The sequence below is a fragment of the Homo sapiens genome, chromosome 16 (assembly GCF_000001405.40).
Source record: "Homo sapiens chromosome 16, GRCh38.p14 Primary Assembly".
Lineage (NCBI taxonomy): Eukaryota > Metazoa > Chordata > Mammalia > Primates > Hominidae > Homo > Homo sapiens.
Window position 1 is genome coordinate 69,132,783 of NC_000016.10, and position 23,036 is coordinate 69,155,818.

Sequence of the window (23,036 nt, forward strand, 5' to 3'; positions counted from 1 at the left end):
GTCCCGAGGGTCTCCTTGTCCCGAGGCGGGGTGGGGGCTACTCTGTAGACTCGGGGAGAGGGAAGGGGAGGCGAAGACCGCGCGCGCCTCAGACGCCCCGGCCCGACCGAACGCGCTTGCTCTGTCTGCGGGTTCCTAACCTTGAAGCTAGGCCAGTGAGGGGCGAACAAGACCTGGTCTCTACTCTCGGCCAGTATATATGTTGGCGGGCGTCGGGGGGACGGGGTAGGGTAAGTGACAGACGTCAGACCAGGCAGCCAGATTAAGTCAAACCCTGTCGTTTCTTCCTCAAGAGGAGCTCGGTTCTGCCTGCCCCATCAGCCTCACTGTCACTACCTCAGTTTAGGTCTGTTGTTTGCAAACTTAGCAATAGAGTTGAGGAGAGATGCTTGCTAAAATGCGGATTCCTAGGCGCCCCGAGATAGGAACTCTGGAGCTATGGAGTAGGACCCTTTTTGATTTTTTGCTGAAGCCTCCTTATTATTCAAGCCATTCTGAGCTTTTGAAGATTGAGTAATTCTTGTGGGGGGCATTGTTAGCAGCCATTTGGAAATGAACTTCAGGGAGATGTTGTTGGAGCCTTCCAGCCAGAACAGTGATATTAAGGAACTGAATACTATATGTGACATACTGCAGTTAACATATAGCAATAATGACTCTCTTTTCGCCCCCTAGGAATGGGTGAATTTAAGGTCCATCGAGTACGTTTCTTTAATTATGTTCCATCAGGAATCCGCTGTGTGGCTTACAATAACCAGTCAAACAGATTGGCTGTTTCACGAACAGATGGCACTGTGGAAATTTATAACTTGTCAGCAAACTACTTTCAGGAGAAAGTAAGTCATTTGGGAGTCTGATATGGTGTTTTGATGTTAATTTCTTCTGAAGTTCAAGAAGCTTGTATGTCTTTTATAATCAAACTGATTGAGTGACTTCCTAGCCCCTCTGAAGTTGCTTAGAACTACCAAACTTCTGAGATCTCCTAACTGATAAGAGAAGCTCAGTTTCAATCTGTGTAATGTTGATTAGAAGGGTCCTACCTAGAAATGTGACATCTCACTGCCTGTCATTGGAAACTGAGGTTTGCTGGATCTTTTGGACACAGGAAGGGAAATTGTTGGTATATCAGTCTCAACACCATTGCAGCTTTGGTAAGCAAAATTTCCTGCAGGGAGTATCAGTACTGTTTCATTGTCAATTCAGAAAAAATGATAACACGTTTTAATATCAGAAACTTTTTGGTGATGTGGGAAGATGGATTCCAAAGTTCATCTGTCTGAGAGAATGTAGACCTACATGTCTACATTTGGGAGTAAAGGAGATTTAAAATTAGGTAAAATGTCCTTTGGGTGTATGCAGAGGTCTATTAGTCCTTTTTCTTCTCCCCTCCAAGGGCACTGACTAGTGATTTTCTTCGGGTGCAACATCTTAGTTCATGTTGAATGACTGTTATGTACTGGGTGCTGTGATATAAATGAGTAGATGGGCAAATGAGTGAATTCAGTGCCCAGCAGCCTGGTACCTGGAATTTAGGCATTCTGTAAATGTTTCTCGGTGAATGAGTGGCAAATACTGGGCACTAAGACAAATGTCAGAGGCCCTAACTTTACGGAGCTCAAAGACCAGTGGGAGAAAGATAAGTGTACAGTTTCCAACCTGTAAAATAAATATGATAAACCGAAACACAGGCATAGAACCTTCATTGAATTGCCTTCAGGGAAGGCAATTCAGAGAATTGCCTTCCCTGAGAGGTGGGTTTAGGAAATGTGGAAAGGGATGATTTACTGAGCTCACCCCTGAAGAACTAATCAAAAGGTAAAAACTACAGGACCACCACAAATGGGTTACATTCTGTGGTATGAAGAACATGCGCTGGCGTGTGCTTATTGCATCCTGTGATTTTCTTTTTTTTTCTTTTTCTTTTTTTTTTTTTTTTTGGAGACGGAGTCTTGCTCTGTCACCCAGGCTGGAGTGCAGTGGCGTGATCTTGGCTCACTGCAACCTCTGCCTCCCTCTCCTGCCTCAGCCTTCCAAGTCGCTGGGATTACAGGTGTGCCACCATGCCTCGCTAATTTTTTTATTTTCATAGAGACGAGGTTTCACCATGTTGGCCAGCCTGGTCTCGAACTCCTGACCTCAAGTGATCTGCCCACCTCAGCCTCCCAAAGTGCTGGGATTACAGGTGTGAGCCCTCATACCAGACTGATTATCTTTTTCTTGGTCTTGTTCTTCTTCTTTTTTTTTTTTTTTAACAGTCATGGCCATATTATGATTTTTCTGTTTGTCATTTGTAACAGTTATAACTATATAATTTGTGTGTTTGTTTAATGTCTTTCTTCCATGCTGAACTTCCAATTTTATGAGGATAGGAACCATGTCAGTGATACTCACATCTGCATTCCCACCATTTATCAAGCGCCTCCTACAAAGCCACTGCTTAATGTTTCTTGAATGGATAAGTCAACCATTCCTTACCTAGTGTTCCTTATTTTCTTTTCTCCTTCATCTGTTTTCTTTATTCTTCAACAATTAATTAACTCAGGCTGGTTTCCTGCTTTCCCTATATTCCCTTTCCTACTAGATACGATTGCTTAGCTCTGTCAGTGACTCTCAGAGCAAGAAAAAATTAGTACGTTAAAGTGAAAAGAGGCAGGGCAGAGTGGCTCACACCTGTAAACCCAGCGCTTTGGGAAGCCAGGGCAGGTGGATCACTTGAGCCCAGGAGTGTAAGACCACCCTGGGCAACATAGTGAGACCCCATCCCTAAAAAAATAAATAAATAAATTAGATAGGTGTGGTGTTGTATGCCCATAGTTCCAGCTACTTGGAGGGTTGAGGCGGAAGGATCGCTTGAGCTCAGGAGGTTGAGGCTACATTGAGCCAAGATCGTGCCACTGCACTCCAGTCTGGGTGACAAAATGAGACCCTGTGTCAAAAAAAATAAATAAATAAAAGTGGGCCTGATGCGGTGGCTCACTCATGGCTGTAATCCCAGCAGTTTGGGAGGCCAAGGTGGGCAGATCACCTGAGGTCGGGAATTCGAGACCAGCCTGACCAACATGGAGAAACCCCGTCTCTACTAAAAATACAAAAAAAAATAGCGGGACGTGGTGGCACATGCCTGTAATCCCAGCTACTCAGGATGCTAAGGCAGGGGAATCGCTTGAACCCGGGAGTCGGAGGTTGCAGTGAGCTGAGATGGCGCCATTGCACTGCAGCCTGGGCAATAAGAGCGAAACTCTGTCTCCAAAAAACAAAAAAGTGAAAGAATATGAGCATATGAGCTAGGAGTAAGGAGACCTTCATTTGCCTCATGCAATTGACTTTGGCACTTTTGGCAACCTACTTAACCCATGTATATCTTGGCCTTTTCAAGTTGAAATAGGAAAAATTATACCTACTTAGTTCCTTTTTCGTCAAGCAGGTCTAAGCATAAAATGCCTTGATAGCTACGAAAACTTTTGGGTTGGGTGCAGTGGCTCACGCCTATAATCCCAGGACTTTGGGAGGCCAAGGCTCACTGCAGCCTCCGCCTCCCAGGCTCAAACAATCCTCCCCCGTCAGCCTCCGTAGTAGCTGGGACTATAAGTGTGTGCCACCACACCCGGCTACTTTTTATATTTTTTGTAGAGACAGTGTCTCACTCTGTCGTCCAGGCTGGAATGCAGTTCAAACCTTTTCTGCTGAAAATGTTTTGCCGAACTAGTCCTAGTAAAAGAAACAAATTTAACTGTATAAAAGTAATTAGAATTTGAGCTGAAAAAATGAAAATGTCATTAGGCATGATCTGATAGCACAAAACCCCACACTAGTTATTTATGGGGAAGTTGTTTTTACCATGTTGCCTGTGACCACTCAGTACCGGTACCTGATGAATTTGTGGTAATGTTGAGAAGTTATGGTGTTTCTGCAGTTTTTCCCAGGTCATGAGTCTCGGGCTACAGAAGCTTTGTGCTGGGCAGAAGGACAGCGACTCTTTAGTGCTGGGCTCAATGGCGAGATTATGGAGTATGATTTACAGGCGTTAAACATCAAGTATGCTATGGATGCCTTTGGAGGACCTATTTGGAGCATGGCTGCCAGCCCCAGTGGCTCTCAACTTTTGGTTAGTAAGCAACTATTGGTAATTCAAACCAAAATTTCTCTCGTGCCTGCTCAGACTTTCTTCCCTGTGCTCATAGGAGAGTAACGATATATTATGGCATGTGGCAACCCCAACTATAAGATTGGAATTGATAGTGAAGATTTTAAAAATCCCCAGCATTCTTTTTGCTACTAGTCTGGACCTTGTTGATTCATTTATGAAATGAGAGGATTACATCAGTTCAACATTTCCCAAACTGTGTTCTGTGGAATTTGGAGATGTAGAGGTTTTTTTGTTTTGGTTTGTTTTGTGTTTTATGGTAAATTTCATTTCACAAATACAGCATATTTAATCCTGCTGTAAATTCACAATGCACATCGGTACATGAAGAGTTCTGAGAGTCCCTTCAGCAAGTTAACCTGTGCACTTGTGTTTCAGCCCAGTGTTTCTCAAAAATATGACCACACACTGAGCCCCTTCCCATAATTACCATTAGAGTGGGTGCTTCCAGATCTTTAATTCTGTGATGAGTCTGATTATTTTTGATCTGCACTAATTTGCACGATATCTGAAGGTGTTTCCATTTAGGTTATAATGTTAGTAGGTCTTTTATTTAGGCCAAGGGTCTCTAGCAGAAGTATTCTATGAAATCCTACTTCTAATCCATGTCATACAGAGGAATGGGGCCACTAATTAGAACTCTTAATATCAGTCTGTTTTCTGTCTAGGATATGAAGGCTACTGAGAATACACTATTAGTTTCTTGATAACTAGTACTTTCTCTCACAAATGATTTTTCTTTTTCACGGCAACTGATAGCTTTAAGGAGGAAGAGAGAATAGAGAGAGTGTGTGTTGGGGGGTGTGTGTGTGTGTTTAGTCCTATAAAATGTTTACTATTGATTTTTTCTGTTTACTACCTCTTTCTCAAATAGGTTGGTTGTGAAGATGGATCTGTGAAACTATTTCAAATTACCCCAGACAAAATCCAGTTTGAAAGAAATTTTGATCGGCAGAAAAGTAAGCGTCATTTTTCATGGGGCGGTAAATAGCCTTAACAAGAAATTAAGTTTCTGTGCCACTGGGGATGGGATATTTTCCCATGAATCCAGGTAATATTTTATCTCTACTGGGTACAGGGAGGGTATGTGCTAGAAGCCATCCCCAGCCCAGGCTTTACCCATTGTATAGCATAGTTGTGACTGCTTGGTTAAGTAATAATATAGAAAACCAGAAATCCAAAATTGGAAAGCTAGTGTTTCTGTGGAAGTCAATTTGTTAGTTATCACTTACTTTTGTGATGTTTTAACAAGCGTACATGAAGTCTTGAACTACAATTTTGTCATTAGGAACTATGGTTCTTTTCTTTCTTTTTTTTTTTTTTTCTGGAGGCAGAGTGTCACTCTGTCATCCATGCTGGCAGTGGCGGTGGCATGATCTCGGCTCACTGTAATCTCCGCCTCCCGGCTTCAAGTGATTCTGGTGCCTCAGCCTCCCAAGTGACTGGGATTCCAGGCACGTGCCATCGTGCCCTGCTAATTTTCGTATTTTTAGTAGAGACAGGATTTCACCATGTTGGCCAGGCTGGTCTCGAACTCTTGGTCTTACTCAAGTGATCCACCTGCCTTGGCCTCAAGTGCTGGGATTACAGGCCTGAGCCACTTGCCCTGGCCAAGGAACTGTGGTTCTTAATCCTTCTGGTGCATTCAAGTTGAATGAGGGAGTTTATAAACAGTTGCCCATCCTTGGGCTCCACCTGGGCTGAATTGGCATTGACCCTTTAGAACAGGGGTTGGCAGACTGTTTCTGTAAAGGACCAGATAGTAAACATTTTAGGCTTTGCCAAACCTACATTGTCTGCCAACTCTGTCAGTGTAGTGCAAAAGCAGCCATAGACGATACTGAAACTAATGGGCAGGCTGTGCTCCAGTAAAAACTTTATTTACAAAAACAAGCAGTGGGCCTGATTTGGCCTGTGGGCCACAGTTTGGTGACCCATCTTCTAGAATAGCAAATGTCCTCTGTGTCCATTAGTAATACTTATCCTCTGCTAATCAGATTCTTGCTTCGTTTTTAATATATCTTGGGTGCTCTTTTTTTTTTTTTTTTTTTTTTTTTCCTGAGATGGAGTCTTGCTTTGTCGCCCAGGCTGAAGTGCTGTGGCGTGATTTTGGCTCAATGTAACCTCTGCCTCCTGGGTTCAAGCAATTCTCCTGCCTCAGCCTCCCTAGTAGCTGGGACTACAGGTGCGTGCCACCATGCCCGGCTAGTTTTTGTGTTTTTAGTAGAGACGGGGTTTCACCATGTTGGCCAGGCTGGTCTTGACCTCCTGACCTCGTGATCCACCCACCTCGGCCTCCTGAAGTGGTGGGATTACAGACATGAGCAACTGCACCCGGCCTGGGTGTTCTTTCTCAATTACAAAGGTAATACAATGCTTTTTAAAAATCTCATACATTTTGTCAAGTATGAAATAGAAAATAGGTGTCTCAGCTGGGCACGATGGCTTACACCTGTAATCCCAGTACTTTGGGAGGCTGAGGCGGGTGGATCACTTGAGGTCAGGAGTTCGAAACCAGCGTGGCCAACATGGTGAAACCCCATCTCCACTAAAAATACAAAAATTAGCCAGACATGGTGGCAGGTGCCTGTAATCTCAGCTACTAGGGAGGCTGAGGCAGGAGAATCACTTGAACCTGGGAGGCGGAGGTTGCAGTGAGCCGAGATCCCACTGCGGCACTCCAGCCTGGGCGACAGAGGAGACTCCGTCTCAAAAATAAATAAATAAATAAATAAATAAATAAATAAATAAATAAATAAAATGGTGCTTCAAGGAGTACTATAGATGAGAGAGCTAAGATTGTAGAACACTCTAGAGATAGTTGTGGGAAGAGAGCTCAGTTACTCTTCGTATATTTATGTGTATGTCACTTTCTTTTTTTGTTGTCCAACTCCCAAGGTCGCATCCTGAGTCTCAGCTGGCATCCCTCTGGTACCCACATTGCAGCTGGTTCCATAGACTACATTAGTGTGTTTGATGTCAAATCAGGTGATTGTTTTTTTCAGTTCATTTGGGGTGTGGGTTTTGTCAGATTCACATTTCTGAGTTTTCAAAAGCTTGAGCCTTTGTCATGGTTTCATGACCTTTATGGCCTAACATGTCATTAATCTTCTGAGATGTCCACAATTAATTTTACTCCTTTCTTGGATTACTACCACTGCTTTTAGGGGAATCTTGGATCTTCAGTAAGATATAGTATTTTTCATTCATCGTAATAAGAATTCACAATAAAATACTCTGAACTAGTACATTCGTGTACTATAAACAGTAGAATTACCTATTTATAGATCCCAGTCCTTGGTAAAAATGGGCTTCTGTCATTGAGGAACATAAGATTTTTGTAGCATAATTGGTGAAACATGAGATCAGAAAAGCAGAGAACCATGATATTTTCTGTTCTTGGCCTGGAAAATTGGCTTCATAGAATCCTTCATTGATAGGGTTGATCTCAACTTGTTAGGTGGACATGTCTGTATTTCCGTCTGAGATGCAGAGATAAAACAGGTTGGCTGGGCGCGGTGGCTCATGCCTGTAATCCCAGCACTTTGGGAGGCCGAGGTGGGTGGATCACCTGAGGTCGGGAGTTCAAGACCAGCCTGACCAACATGGAGAAACCCTGTCTCTACTAAAAATACAAAATTAGCCGGGGTGGTGGTGCATGCCTGTATTCCCATCAACTCAGGAAGCTGAGGCAGGAGAATCGCCCCATTGCACTCCAGCCTGACAACAAGAGTGAAACTGCGTCTCAAAAAAAAAAAATCCCTTAAGCTTATTACAAAAAAGAGGGAGTCCTTCTATATCTCTCTCACTCTCCTCGAGGCAACCACTTGTGACCCTTAGCTGATTCTTTTGGTATCTATCACTGCAGATCCTAGCATGCTTTTTATGCTACATTTTGATTTTTCAGCTTTAGACCATTTTTTACTGACTTCTGCAACTTGCCCCTCTTTTTCTACCGTCTGCCACAGGCATCCACACTTCCTCCCGATCCTCCCAGTATGGTTATATTATAACTTTGTTCAAATTAGTAATTGATGTTTTCATTATTATGACTATGTATATACTACTCACATAGTAAATTTTCTTTCTTTTCCGGTATACTTATTGTTTAATAGTGTCTCTGTCTCTCTGTCTTACTGATACATTCCCACATTTTTCCAGTTGCATAAATTAGGTTCAAGTCCATCTGATTTTCTTTCTCCACTTTTATCTTTGTGAATAAGTCCCTCCCGGTGCCTTCTGACCCACTCCCATCTGGCTTAGCCACTCTGGGCCTGCTGCACAGCTGTGAGATCTGAAACTCTGATTGATTTTTCCATTGTTCTCGGGATCTCCTTTGCTTCTCTATCGGATAGGATCTCCCATTTCTGTGTTATTCACTTTCTTGGTTTACCCTTTGGTGGATCCTGAGTAAGAGTGCATGAGAAAGAATTCTAGGTTGGAAATTCTTTTCCCTTAGAATTCTGAAGCCCTGGCTCCGCTGTCTTCCAGCTCCTCGTATTATTAGCAAGTAAGCTGCCATTCTGAGAGTTATCCCTTTGTGTAGGACCTGTTTTATTTTTTTTTCCCCCAGGAGCTTTTAGGATGTTTTATCCTTACTGTTATGAAATGTAATAATTAGGTTTCTTGGTATGTGGATCAATTAATTGTTCTGGACACCTGGTAGGTTCTTCTAATCCAATACCCACGTCCTTCAGTTCTGGGGGGAAATTCTTTTACTCTTATTTTTCATTTCTTTGTCTTTTTACTATGCTTTCTGGGAGAGTTTGTCTTTTTTATCTTTGAATCCTCTATTGAGTTTTTCATTTTTGACATTTCCAGAGTTCTTTTTTTTCGTGAATCTTCTTTTTTACAGCATTCTCTTTATGTTTCATTATACAGAAACTCTTCTCTTTCTTTTTTTATTTTATTTTATTTTATTATTATTATACTTTAAGTTTTAGGGTACATGTGCACAATGTGCAGGTTAGTTACATATGTATACATGTGCCATGCTGGTGTGCTGCACCCATTAACTCGTCATTTAGCGTTAGGTATATCTCCTAATGCTATCCCTCCCCCCTCCCCTCACCCCGAAACTCTTCTCTAAGGCTATTAATAATTGTCAAGTGTTTTTCACTCTGCCTGTTTCTTCCCTGTTATTCATTTATTTGTTTCTGTTAGTCCGTTTGGCCTCTGCCTTTCATGTTAAAGGCTTTCCTCATGTCTGGTGATCATCTCATCACTGCATCATGTGGCTTACTGAGCTTGGGTTTCACTGAAGAATGATCTGGCTGGACTGCTTATTTGGGGTAGCCCTGAAGCCAGAATCTTCAGATCTTTTCTTTTGTGTCAGTTATGTTCCTCAGAAATGGTTTTTCATTCTCCTGCCTGGTGAGTATTGGCCTGGCTATCAGCATTCTAAGGGGAAAAAAAAGAATGGTGTTCTCAACATTCAGTGAGAAATGTTCACTTAATCCTGGTTTTCATATACTGCTTCTGCCTGATAGCCCTCCTCAGACAACGTCTCCAGTATTCTGCTGACGTGCATTTTGGGAGCTTCCCACCTTCTTAGTCAGGGCATGGCTATCTGAGGGGTCTACCAGCTGTTAACGGATCCCTCTTTGAAGCCCCACTTACTCCTTTTCTAGAATATCTGGGGTCCCCAATTCCTGAGTCCAAGGATTCCATAGTATAAATCAGGTGGCTTCTTGGCTTTCCTCTCTGCCGACCTGGGACTTAGTTTCAGGGCTCTGCTAAGTCAGTGCCACTACTTGTCTGCTTTCCAGTTCCCCAAATTTTGTCACTGATCTCTCCCTTTCCTGTGGGATTTTGGAAAAGAGCAGAGTGTAATGTGTGTGTGCAGTTGACCAGCTTTAAGTGAATGTCCCAAATGTCTCTTTCCATTTCACCCCACCAAAGGGGTTTCTGTTCTCATTCTCTTCCCTCCCTTCCTCCCTCCCTTGCACCTTCTATCCCTTTCCTGTTAGGCTCTCCCAACACCCCTTCTCTTCAGGTAACCATTTTGGAGTTCCGAGATCAGGTTCACCAGAACTACCATTTATAGGCTGACTGTTCAGTCAGCTCACCTACCATATCATGCTTACCGCAGGCGGGTTTGTTATGTTGTTTCGTAGAGATGAGGTCTCACTTCGTTGCCTAGGCTGGCCTTAAACTCCAGGGCTCAAGCAGTCCTTCCACTTTGGCCGCAGGCAGATTTTGAAGACAGAGAAATAAGTACCATTTGAAGGTGTGCTTTTCTGATTTTTCAGGCAGCGCTGTTCATAAGATGATTGTGGACAGGCAGTATATGGGCGTGTCTAAGCGGAAGTGCATCGTGTGGGGTGTCGCCTTCTTGTCCGATGGCACTATCATAAGTGTGGACTCTGCTGGGAAGGTGCAGTTCTGGGACTCAGCCACTGGGACGCTTGTGAAGAGCCATCTCATCGCTAATGCTGACGTGCAGTCCATTGCTGTAGCTGACGTGAGTACAGTCCCTGTTTAGAGTGGTTGATGTACACCCTTGTGGGGTGAGTTGAGAAAGCAGCCTTAGTGACGTGCCATGAACACTGGTTCCTGATCCTGATGTTGTACTGGAGGAAGATGAGTTTAGGAAAATGCATCTGAAAACCCACATTGTTTCCATAGTACCTAACAATTGGTTAGAGAATACAGGATACTCCAAGAGATTAGTTAGCAGGGAGATTTTCTTTAGACACTGCTCACTTCCAGTTCGTCTTGTTTGATTGTAGATAGGGCACAGCAGCCTAGAAGAATCTGGAGAAGCGCTATGTTTATACCTTTGTATTTATGCATTTATTTTTAATTTAATTAAAAAAATAGAGATGGGGTCTCCCTATATTACCCAAGGTGGTCTTAAATTCCTGGGCTGGGGGATCCTCCCATCTCAGCCTCCCAAAGTGCTGGGATTATAGGCAGGAACCACGGCACCTGGCCAAAATGTCTTATTTAGTAGTAGTTCTTTTTTTTTCTTTTTTTGAGATGGAGTTTCATTCTTGTCGCCCAGGCTGGAGTGCAATGGCGCGATCTAGGCTCATTGCAACCTCTGCCTCCCAGGTTCAAGCGATTCTTCTGCCTCAGCCTCCCCAGTAGCTCGGATTACAGGCCCCTGTCACCACACCCAGCTAATTTTTATATTTTTAGTAGAGATGGGGTTTCACCATGTTGGGCAGGCTAGTCTCGAACTCCTGACCTCAGGTGATCCACCCACCTCGGCCTCCCAAAGTGCTGGGATTACAGGTGTGAGCCACTGTGCCTGGCCTATTTTCTCTCTCTTTTTTTTTTTATTTTTTTGAGACGGAGTCTAGCTCTGTCACCCAGGCTGGAGTGCAGTGGCACAATCTTGGCTCACTGCAACCTCTGCCTCCAGGGAGCAATTTCTCCTGCCTCAGCCTCCGAAGTAGGTGAGATTACAGGCGCCCGCCTCTGTGCCCAGCTAATTTTTATATGTTTAGGCTTTCACCATGATGGCCAGGGTGGTCTGACTCCTGACCTCAAGTGATCTGCCTGCCTCGGCCTCCCAAAGTGCTGAGATTGCAGGCGTGAGCCACCACACCCAGCCTATTATTTTCTATGACGTAAATATTGTAGAGGAATGGTAACGTGAATTCTCATTCAGAAACCTTTGAGTATTTTAGCAGTGAGACATGGAAAGTGACTTTATTTGTTGACCAGCTCCTTTATTCTTTATCTCCTTAGTTTGAGAATGATGTGCTATCCCACATGCCGACATCCATATTCTAGTGTAGTGTTCCTATTCCATATCACAGGTTTTTTTAGAACAGTTTGATGTATGTTAAGGCCCTGAAAAACATAGATGTCACACGTAAGTGATAATAGTGGTATAAGTTGAAATGAGTGGGATAAATTCCCCTTTAAAAATAGAGTTTTAATCCACAGCAGTTGTAATTATTATACTTAAGAGTTAATTATTGGCCGGGCATGGTGACTCACGCCTGTAGTCCCAGCACTTTGGGAGGCCAAGGCGGACGGATCACCTGAGGTCAGGAGTTCAAGACGAGCCTGGTCAACATGGTGAAACCCTGTCTCTACTAAAAATGCAAAAATTAGCTGGGCGTGGTGGTGGGCGCCTATAATCCCATCTACTTGGGAGACTGAGGCAGGAGAATCACTTGAACCCGGGAGTCGGAGGTTGCAGTGAGCCGAGATCATGCCATTGCCCTCCAGCCTGGGCGACAAAAGCAGGACTCCATCTCAAATAACAATAATAATAATAATAATAATGATTTCACCTAAGAGAAAGAGAATACAGAGTAAAGGAGAAGTCCTTGTCTTCCAAATCTCTCTCTGGATGGGACTTTGAGAAAACTACCCTTTTTAAAAAATTTTTTTGAGACAGTCTCTCACTCTGTCTCCCAGGCTGGAGTGCAGTGGTGCAGTCTCGGCTCACTACAACCTCTGTCTCCTGGGTTCAAGCGATTCTCCTGACTCAGCCTCCCAAGTAGCTAGGATTACAGGTGCATGCCACCATGCCAGGCTAATTTTTGTAATTGTAGTAGAGACTGGGTTTTACCATGGCTGGTTTTGAACTCCTGACCTCAGGTGATCCACCAGCCTCGGCCTCCCAAAGTGCTGAAAATACAGGCATGAGCCACCGCCCCTGGCTTTTTCTTTTTCTTTTTCTTTTTTTTTTTGTAAATTAAGTAAACTGTGTCGTTGGAGGTGGGGGAGTGTTTGAGTTCCTAAGCTGCTGGGTATGTCCACTTTTGTCTTAGGCTAATGGTTTTTAAGTAGTGTCTTTAGAGAAGAGGGAGAGGCTCCTCAGGGCCACCTTATGTGCTGTCCTTGGAAAATGCTTTCCTTTCTGGTACACAGTCATGACCCTGCAAGAGAGTTGGCATAAGGTTAAGGCAGTGTGGTGTTCCCAGAGCACAGGCTTTGGAGCCAGATGGCCGTGTTTGTCATGGCTTTAAACCCTTTGGAGCTCTGGTTTCCTTATCTGTGAAAAAGGTTACTAAATGATGATTAGGCAGAAAAAAGTTATAATCATGATTCATACAAGTATGAAATGGAAATAAGTCCGATTTTCTGTAATTCCTTAATGAGGGAACTGGTAAAATATTTCAAGCAGTTCAACCCGGGAGGCAGAGGTTGCAGTGAGCCGAGATTGTGCCGTTGTGCTCCAGCCTGGGCAACAGAGACTCTGTCTCAAAAAAAAAAAAAGAAAAAAAAAGATATTCCAAACTTTAGTCTTTTTACCATTAGTTTTGTAATTCTCCCCACATTATTTACTTTTAAACTATTTTAAAAGTGTACATTTCAGTGGAATAAAGTTCATTCACGTTGTTGTACAGCTATCACCACTATCCATTTTCAGAATTTTTTCATCACCACAAACAGAAACCTGTACTCATTAAACACTACCTCCTCATTCCTCCCTTCTCTCAGCCTCTGGTCACCTCTATTCTACTTTCTGTTCCTATGAATTTGCTTATAACATTTGTTATTTTGTATCTGGCTTATTTTACTTAGCATATTGTTCTCAAGGTTCATCCATCTTGCAGCATTATCAGTATTTCATTCCTTACTAAGACTGCATAATATTTGTGTGTGTGTTCTGTTTATCCATTCATCTATTAGTGGACGTTTGGGTTGTTTCCATCTTTCGGCTGTTGTAAATAATGCTGCTCTAGGCCAGGTGCGGTGGCTCACGCCTGTAATCCCAGCACTTTGGGAGACCAAGGCGGGTGGATCAGTTGAGGTCAGGAGTTCGAGACCAGCCTGGCCAGTATGATGAAACCCTGTCTCTACTAAAAATACAAAAATTAAGCCGGGCGCGGTGGCTCACGCCTGTAATCCTAGCACTTTGGGAGGCCGAGGCGGGTGGATCACGAGGTCAGGAGATCAAGACCATCCCGGCTAACATGGTGAAACCCCATCTCTACTAAAAAAAAAAAATACAAAAAATTAGCCGGGTGTGGTGGCGGGCGCCTGTAGTCCCAGCTACTCGTGAGGCTGAGGCAGGAGAATGGCGTGAACCAGAGAGGCGGAGCTTGCATTGAGTGCGATCGCGCCACTGCACTCCAGCCTGGGCGACAGAGCGAGACTCTGCCTCAAAAAAAAAAAAAAAAAAATACAAAAATTAGCCTGCATGGTGCTGCGTGCCTGTAATCCCAGCTACTTGGGAGGCTGAGGCGGGAGAATTGCTTGAACCCGGGAGATAGACGTTGCAGTGAGCTGAGATCGTGCCATTGCACTCCAGCCTGGTCAACAGAGTGCAACTCCAGCTCAAAATAATAATAATAATAATAATAATAATAATAATAATAATAATAAGCCGGGCGTGGTGACTCACGCCTGTAAACCTACCACTTTGGGAGGCCGATGCGGGTGGATTGGCTGAGCTCAGGAGTTCCAGACCAGCCTGGGCAACATGGTGAAACTCTGTCTCTACTAAAATACAAAAAAATTAGCTGGGCGTGGCGGTATGCGCCTGTAGTCCCAGCTACTCGGGAGGCTGAGGCAGGAGAATCGCTTGAACCAGGGAGGCGGAGGTTGCAGTGATCTGAGATCACCCCGCTGCACTCCAGCCTGGGTGACAGAGCAAGACTCTGTCTCCAAACAAACAAACAAACAAAAAATAATAATGCTACTCTGAACATTGAGGTACAAGTACAGGTTGAGTGTCTCTGATCTGGTTGTGCTTGGAACCAGAAGTGTTTCAGATTTTGGATTTTTTTTTGGATTTTGGAATATTTGCATATACATAATGAGATATCTTGGGGATGGGACCCCAGCCTATACAAGAAATGCATTTATGTTTCATACGTCCCTGATACACATAGCCTGACGGTAGTTTTGTACAATATTTTATTCATTTTGTGCATGAAACACAGTTTTGACTGTGATCCAGCAGATGAGGTCAGATGTGAAGTTTTCTACTTGTGGTGTCATGTTAGCACTCAAAAAGTTTCGGATTTTGGATTAGGAATCCTTTTTTTTTCTTTTTAGCTGGGACTACAGGCTCATGCCACCACGCCTGTCTAATTTTTGTTTTGTTGTTTTGTTTGTTTGTTTTGTTTTTCGAGACGGAATCTTGCTCTGTCGCCTAGGCTGGAGTGCAGTGGCGTGATCTCCGCTCACTGCAAGCTCCGCCTCCCTGGTTCACGCCCCATTCTCCTGCCTCAGCTTCCCAAGTAGCTGGGACTACAGGCGCCCGCCACCACACCCGGCTAATTTTTTGTATTTTTTTTTTCAGTAGAGATGGGTTTTCACCGTGTTAGCCAGGATGGTCTTGATCTCCTGACCTTGTGATCTGCCCGCCTCGGCCTCCCAAAGTGCTGGAATTACAGGCGTGAGCCACCGTGCCCAGCCTAATTTTTGTATTTTTAATAGAGACGGGGTTTCATTATGTTGGCCAGGCTGGTGTCTAACCCCTGACTTCAAGTGATCCGCCCGCCTCGGCTTCCCAAAGTGTTGGAATTACAGATGTGAGCCACTGCGCCCGGCCTAATTTTTGTATTTTTAATAGAGACGGGGTTTTATCATGTTGGCCAGGCTGGTCTCTAACCCCGACCTCAAGTGATCCGCCCGCCTCAGCCTCCCAAGGTGCTGTGATTACAGGCCTGAGCCACCACGCCTGGCCCTGGATTAGGAATCTTCAATCTGTATTAGTATAGCTGTTTGAGTTCCTGCCTTCAATTCTTTTGGATGTATATCTTCATTACTTTTTTTTTTTTTTTTTGAGACACGGTCTTGCTCTGTCACCCAGGTGGAGTGCAGTGGTGTAATCCTGGCTCACTGCAGCCTCTGCCTCCCAGGCTCGAGCAATCCTACCTCAGCCTCCCAAGTGGCTGGGACTACAGGCATGCACCACCAGGCTAAGTTTTTAACATTTTTTGTAGAGATGCAGTCTCACTATGTTGCCCAGGTTGGTCTCAAATTCCTGGGTTGAAGTGATTCTCCTGCCTTCCAAAGTGCGGGATTACAGATGTGAGCCATCACATCTAGCCACATTACTACTCTTGTTTGGGTTTTTTGTGTTGTGAGTTGTGTTTTTTTGTTTTGTTTTGTTTTTTCTTGTTTATTTCTTTCATTCTTTTTAAAGATGAGACTTTGGGAGGCTGAGGCGGGCGGATCACCTGAGGTCAGGAGTTTGAGACCAGCCTGGCAAACGTGGTAAAACCCTGTCTATACTGAAAAATAAATACAAGCCTGGGCACGGTGACTCACACCTGTAATCCCAGCACTTTGGGAGGCCGAGGAGGGTATATCCCCTAGGTCAGGAGTTTGAGACCAGCCTGGACAACATGGTGAAACCCCATCTCTACTAATAATACAAAAATTAACCAGGCATGGTGGCGCACGCCTGTAATCCCAGCTACTCAGGAGGCTGAGGCAGAAGAATGGCTTGAACCAAGGAGGCAGGGGTTGTGGTGAGCTGAGATCGCGCCATTGCACTCCAGCCTGGGCGACAAGAGTGAAACTCTGTCTCAAAAAAAACAAAAACAAAAATTAGCCGGGTGTGGTGGTGTGTGCCTGTAATCCCAGCTACTTGGGAGCCTGAGGTGGGAGAATCTCTTGAACCCGGGACGGCAGAGGTTGCAGTGAGCCGAGATCATGCCACTGCCCTCCAGCCTGGGTGACAGAGCGAAACTCCGTCTCAAAAAATACAAACAAACAAACAAAAAAAGATGAGGTCTCACTATGTTGTGCAGACTGGTCTCCAACTTCTGGGCTCAAGTGATCCTCCTACCCAGTCTCCTGAGTAGCTGGGACTACAGGTTTGTGCTGCTCTGCCCACCTTGTTTATTTAAGAAACTTTTTTATTGGTGTTTCTTGCATTTTTTTTTCTTTTTTTAAGCCAGAGTCTCGCCCTGTTGCCCAGGCTGGAGTGCAGTGGTGCGATCTTGGCGTACTGCAACCTCTGCCTCCCAGGTTCAAGTGATTCTCGTGCCTCAGCCGTCCAAATAGTTGGGATTACAGGCATGCGCCACCACGCCCAGCTAATTTTTGTATTTTTAGTAGCGACGGGGTTCACCATGTTGGCCAGGCTGGTCTCAAACTCCTGGCCTCAAGTGATCCACCCAGCTCAGCTTCTCAAAGTGCTGGGATTATAGGAGTGAGCCACCATGCCTGGCTGATGTTTCTTGGATATTTTTAATGAAATAAACGTTATTAAGAAACACCTGTTCTAGTTCCAAATAAAGGATTTTCAGTATTTTTATTGGTTTAATACATTTCTTTAGTGATAATAACTTGATCATGTTAAATATTCGTATTAAATAACATGATATGAATTTCTTTGTTAGGTTTTCTCTTATGTTCTTTCGAAGGATTTAAATTTCTCAAGTAGGTCCTAGGTATTTTCTCTCTCTCAATGCTATTCTAAGGAGATCTATGTTGGGTATATGAAGCGTTGCTGTACTGTAGACGTTAATTTTGTCAGTAGGGGGCGCATTGTTACCAGTGTCTGAGCTTGCTCCTTTGATGGAATCCTTAGCTTCTGGAAGGAAAAGACCCTTGTAACTTTCCTACTGATTCTGGGCATAGGTTTACCCCTAAGCTGCTGAGACAGAAAGCCTCGGAATATTTTTCCAACCAGACCTTGTTTTGCTTACGTGTACCTCCCTCATGATTTAATTCCTCAGCAAGAAGACAGTTTCGTGGTGGGCACAGCCGAGGGAACAGTCTTCCATTTTCAGCTGGTCCCTGTGACATCTAACAGCAGTGAGAAGCAGTGGGTGCGGACAAAACCGTTCCAGCATCACACTCATGACGTGCGCACTGTGGCCCACAGCCCAACAGCGCTGATATCTGGAGGTGGGTTCCCCCTCTGGTGAGGCTGCTGCTTTACCCTGCCCAGTTCTGGCTGTTCTCGTGAGGATGACTTCTAATTCTGTACACCTTCTCCCCTGCTTTCCCAGGCACTGACACCCACTTAGTCTTTCGTCCTCTCATGGAGAAGGTGGAAGTAAAGAATTACGATGCCGCTCTCCGAAAAATCACCTTTCCCCACGTAAGTGTCCATTCCAAGCCCCTGCTAACCCCTCATCTCCCCATCCCTGTGTCCCCCTGTCCCACAAGCTCTGAACACAGCTCACGCTCGGCAAATTTGTAGGACTTTTTTTTTTTTTTTGAGACAGAGTTTGCTCTTGTTGCCCAGGCTGGAGTGCAATGGCGCGATCTCGGCTCACCACAACCTCCACCTCCCGGGTTCAAGCGATTCTCCTGCCTCAGCCTCCCGAGTAGCTGGGATTACAGGCATGCGCCACCGCGCTCAGCTAATTTTATATCTTTAGTAGAGACTGGGTTTTTCCATGTTGGTCAGGCTGATCTCGGAACTCCCAACCTCAGGTGATCTGCCCGCCTCAGCCTCCCAAAGTGCTGGTATTACAAGTGTGAGCCACCACGCTCAGCTTTGTGGTCCTTTTTTTTTCTTTTTTTTTTTTTTTGAGACTGAGTCTCTCTCTGTCGCCCAGGCTGGAGTGCAGTGGTGCGACTCCACTCACTGCAAGCTCCGCCTCCCAGGTTCATGCCATTCTCCTGCCTCAGCCTTCCGAGTGGCTGGGACTACAGGTGCCCACCACCACGCCCGGCTAATTTTTTTATTTTTAGTAGAGGTGGGGTTTCACTGTGTTAACCAGGATGGTCTTGATCTCCTGACTTCGTGATACGCCCGCCTCGGCCTCCCAAAGTGCTGGGCTTACAGGCGTGAGCCACTGTGCCCAGCCCCTGCCTTTTTTTTTTTTTTAACCATCTGGGACATGGAGATATTGTAGGACTTTCTGTAGCTACCTTCTTCATTCCTTCTGTTTTTGAGGCAAGCCACTGCAAAGACATTTATGGGGGCAGGAGATATGCAGCAGCACACCTAGTTCAGTTTCTGGGGAAATTTTTCCCTTTTCCAAATAGTTGTGGGTTATGGGAATTTTGTTAGTTTGTCTTTCAGGGTAGGCTCTATTCTGGGTGGGAGCGGGAAAACCCAGGCTTCCAGTGTTCTAGGTAAATGGTACCATCTTCCCAAGCTAGAAAACTTGCTCCCCACACCTGCTGCCCCATTCATTCAAGCAGTAAACCTCATTGAGTCTACTCATCAGTATCTTTATACATATGTTATAGATATAGATAGATAGATAGATAGATCAACAGCTCTATTGAGGCATACTTGATATATTAAAAATCATACATATTTAATGCATATGGTTTGATGAGGTTGAACATAGTCCTCATAATCTCTTGAATCGAGTCATTCATTTCTCTTTGTCTACGCTGGCATCATCCTAGTTTGGATCAGTGTCTTTTCTCATCTGGGTTCCTTTACAGTAGCTTCTTAATCATGTCCTTTTATTTGCATTTGTGTCATTCTAGCCTATTCTTCATTGATCTTATTTTATTTTATTTGTTTTTGTTTTTTTGAGACAAGGTCTTGCTCCGTCACCCAGGCTGCACTGCAGTGGTGTAATCTTGGCTCACTGTAACCTCTGCTTCTTGAGCTCAAGCAGTCCTCCCACATCAGCCTCCCGAGTTGCTGGAGCTGCAGGCATGCGCCACCAGGCTCAGCTAATTTCTGTTTTTCTTTTTTTTTTTTTTTTTTTTTTGAGACAGAGCTTTGCTCTTGTTGCCCAGGCTGGAGTGTAGTAGTGAAATCTCGGCTCACTGCAACCTCAGTCTCCTGGGTTCAAGCGATTCTCCTGCCTCAGCCTCCCTAGTAGCTGGGATTACAGGCACCCGCCACCACGCCTAGGTAATTTTTTTTGTATTTTTAGTAGAGACAGGGTTTCACCATGTTGGCCAGGCTGGTCTTGAACTCCTGACCTCAGGTGATCCACCTGCCTTGGCCTCCCAAAGTGCTGGGATTACAGGCATGAGCCACTGTGCCCGGCCTCGGCTAATTTTTTTATTTTTTATTTTTTTTAATAGAGGCAAGATCTCACTATCTTGCCCAGGCCAGTCTCAAACTCCTGGTCTCAAGCAATCCTCGCACCTCAGCCTCTCGATTGCTGGCATTACAGGCATGAGCCACTGCTCCAGGCCCATTGATCTGTTTTAAAGCACCTTTGTTCATCACTCCATGCTTCAAAGCCTCTGGTTATCCCTGTTGGCTTCAGCATAAAGACAGTTTCCTTAGTGTGTCTTATAGAACCTGTCTCCATCCAGGCCTGGCCCTTCAGCTTCTTTTTGCACCTCTCGTGCTTGTAGCACCCCCACCCAGGCTAGCCATTCTCAAGGTCTTTTTGTTCCCTCAAATACTCTTACCTTTGAGCTATGTCACATGCCATCACCCTCCTCAGAATGTTCTGCCCTGCCTCCTTCGCCTGACTGGTCTTTCCCAGTGAACCTCATCTGGGCTTCTGTATTTACCACCACACAGCTAGGTTAGATGTCCTGTCTCCTTATTTTTCAGTACATACTGTGTTTAGCCGTGTTAAAATTCTTGGCACACTGAAGTCTAATTGCTGATTTAATTCTGTGTCACCCCTTTAGAAGCATGTTGAGAGCAGTAGCTATGTTTTAATTCATCATCGTCTTCATAGATCTCAGGGCAGTGCCTGGCATATGGGAGTACTTAGGAAATATTTATCAAGGAAATGGATTTCAGCAGTAAAAAATGTGCTAAGGTGGTGCTACTGTATCTGGTACTAAGGCAGTAGATGACCCTGACTTATTTTTTTAACTTCTTGATTCTTGGATATAGCGATGTCTCATCTCCTGTTCTAAAAAGAGGCAGCTTCTCCTCTTCCAGTTTGCTCATCACTTAGAACTTTGGCGACTGGGATCCACAGTTGCAACAGGTAAGATGGGAGCACGTTTTTTTCAATAAGAAAACTGGAGAGAGAAGCCAGAAATCAGAATTGCGGTTGGAATTCTGCTTATAGAAAAACTGAAGTAGACTTTTGTGTCCATTTTAACTAATGGTTTTCCCACCCATTAGATAAAGCAAATAAGCTGTTTAGAGTATTAGAATCTTTAGCAGGATATTGGATCATCTCTTAAAAGTTTATGGCTCTAGGTGGTGCGCTGCAGGGTGTAGTCAAGGTAAGGGTTGAAGAATCGTAGTTTGCGCTAGCTTAACTGAGGTGAAAACAGGCTGTTGAAAAACAACAAGATTTAATGATGGGTAATGATAATCCTGTAGAAAAAGAAGATCACATGGATCTTATTGGAGTGACAGCCTAGTGGCCTTTTTGACTTATTAAGGAAATGTTTGAGTCCTCTCATTTGCAGTGGATTAAAATCGAGGCCACACAAACTCCACCTGTGTCCCTGGCTATGGACTAGAGCTTCAGGGAATTAGTGATGTATCAGAGGATAGAAGCAAAAGAAGTACTCACTGCTTTCTCTTCATATACCCCTCAAAAATTGTGAGCTTACTCAGTGAGCTTGTATTTTTCTGATTTCCCACTGATAGAGATTCCATTTTTCCAAGGAGTAACTTTTTAGAAGAAAAATGTACAAATACTCTTTCTTTCATAAGAAAAATCTCAGGGAAGTTTCTTGTTTCAGGCAAGAATGGGGATACTCTTCCACTCTCTAAAAATGCAGATCATTTACTGCACCTAAAGACAAAGGTAAGGAAGTTTGTTTAGGCTCTGAATTCTAGAGCCTGAATTCTAGGCTCATAATTCCCATTCTGAATTTTGAGGTTACTTAGTTTGCATCATAAATTGTATAAATTCTAAAACTATTTGAATGAAGGACTGTGTCACCAGGACTGGGTTTCCTGTGATTATAAGTAGGACGTTGAGGATTTATTAGATGGATGTATACAGGAAATAGGTTTCTCTTCTTTTGATATTATTATGAAAATAATGTGCTTTTATTTATTTATTTATTTATTTATTTATTTATTTATTTTTGAGACGGAGTTTCACTCTTGTTGCCCAAGCTGGAGTGCAATGGCACCACCTCAGCTCACCGAAACCTCCGCCTCCTGGGTTCAAGCGATTCTCCTGCTTTAGCCCCCCAAGTAGCTGGGATTACATGCATGCGCCACCACGCCCGGCTAATTTTTTGTATTTTTAGTAGAGATGGGGTTGGTCAGGCTGGTCTTGAACTCCCGACCTCAGGTGATCCGCCCGCCTTGGCCTCCCAAAGTGCTGGGATTATAGGCGTGAGCCACCGCGCCCAGCCATGTGCATATTTTTAAAAACTCAAATAGTACAAAAGGGTATACAATGAAAAAAAAATCATTTTGTGAGTTTTTAAAAACTACATACATGTTACATTCAACTTTTCTTTATTCTCCAGATTCTTTTTTGTTTGGTTAGTTGGTTGGTTTTTTTGTTTGTTTGCTTACTTTTTTGAGGCAGGGTCTCATTGTGTTATCCAGGCTGGAGAGCAGTGGCACGGTCACGGCTCACTGCAGCCTCAACCTCCCAGGCTCAGGTGATCCTACCACTTCACCCTCCCAGGTAGCTGGGACTACAGGTGTGCACCACCATGCCCGGCTAATTTTTTGTAGAGTCAGGGTTTCACCATGTTGTCCAGACAGGTCTTGAACTCCTGGGCTCAAGCAATCCTCCACCTCAGCCTCCCAAAGTGCTGGGATTACAGGCATGACCCACTGTACCTGGCCTTCAAATGTTCTTCATTTGCTATTTCTTAGAAGTCTTTAAAGCAGAACGCCGTACACAAAACAGAAAATAAGTACTTCAAACCACCTATCCTCCAGAGCTTTCCTTCAGTAAATGCCTCCCTGCTCAGGTTTCTGAAGTTGGGGTCTAGTATGAGGCTATCTATGAAGTATTCAAAGGGCCAAAATAAGAATAGACCTCCATTCTTGGATTTGGAAATCAAAGCCATGCCTTTTAGGTGCTCTGCCTCTGAAATAATCATATTAATGCAGACCACACGAGGATCGAGATTATGTGTAGATATCTGTGGGTATGTCCAGAGTGGCAAGAGCTTGAGGCGTCATGTCCCAGTGCAC

General features: G+C 44.2%; 1 protein-coding gene across 4 annotated transcripts in view; it reads left to right on the plus strand.

Moving 5' to 3' along the window:
• UTP4 (UTP4 small subunit processome component) overlaps nt 1-23,036 on the plus strand; it is a 36,373-nt gene that overhangs the window by 134 nt on the left and 13,203 nt on the right. The window contains exons 2-10 of one of the 4 annotated variants that reach the window (NM_032830.3): nt 676-836; nt 3,914-4,105; nt 5,019-5,103; nt 7,043-7,132; nt 10,396-10,607; nt 17,755-17,926; nt 18,031-18,122; nt 20,802-20,898; nt 21,611-21,675. In NM_032830.3, coding sequence (NP_116219.2) covers nt 678-836; nt 3,914-4,105; nt 5,019-5,103; nt 7,043-7,132; nt 10,396-10,607; nt 17,755-17,926; nt 18,031-18,122; nt 20,802-20,898; nt 21,611-21,675 — 1,164 coding nt within the window. In that variant the 5' untranslated portion in view covers nt 676-677. Of the gene's footprint in view, nt 1-675; nt 837-3,913; nt 4,106-5,018; nt 5,104-7,042; nt 7,133-9,360; nt 9,518-10,395; nt 10,608-17,754; nt 17,927-18,030; nt 18,123-20,801; nt 20,899-21,610; nt 21,676-23,036 lie in introns of those variants that run through there. The other 3 variants (NM_001318391.2, XM_047434817.1, XM_005256205.4) reach the window with 3 other exon arrangements.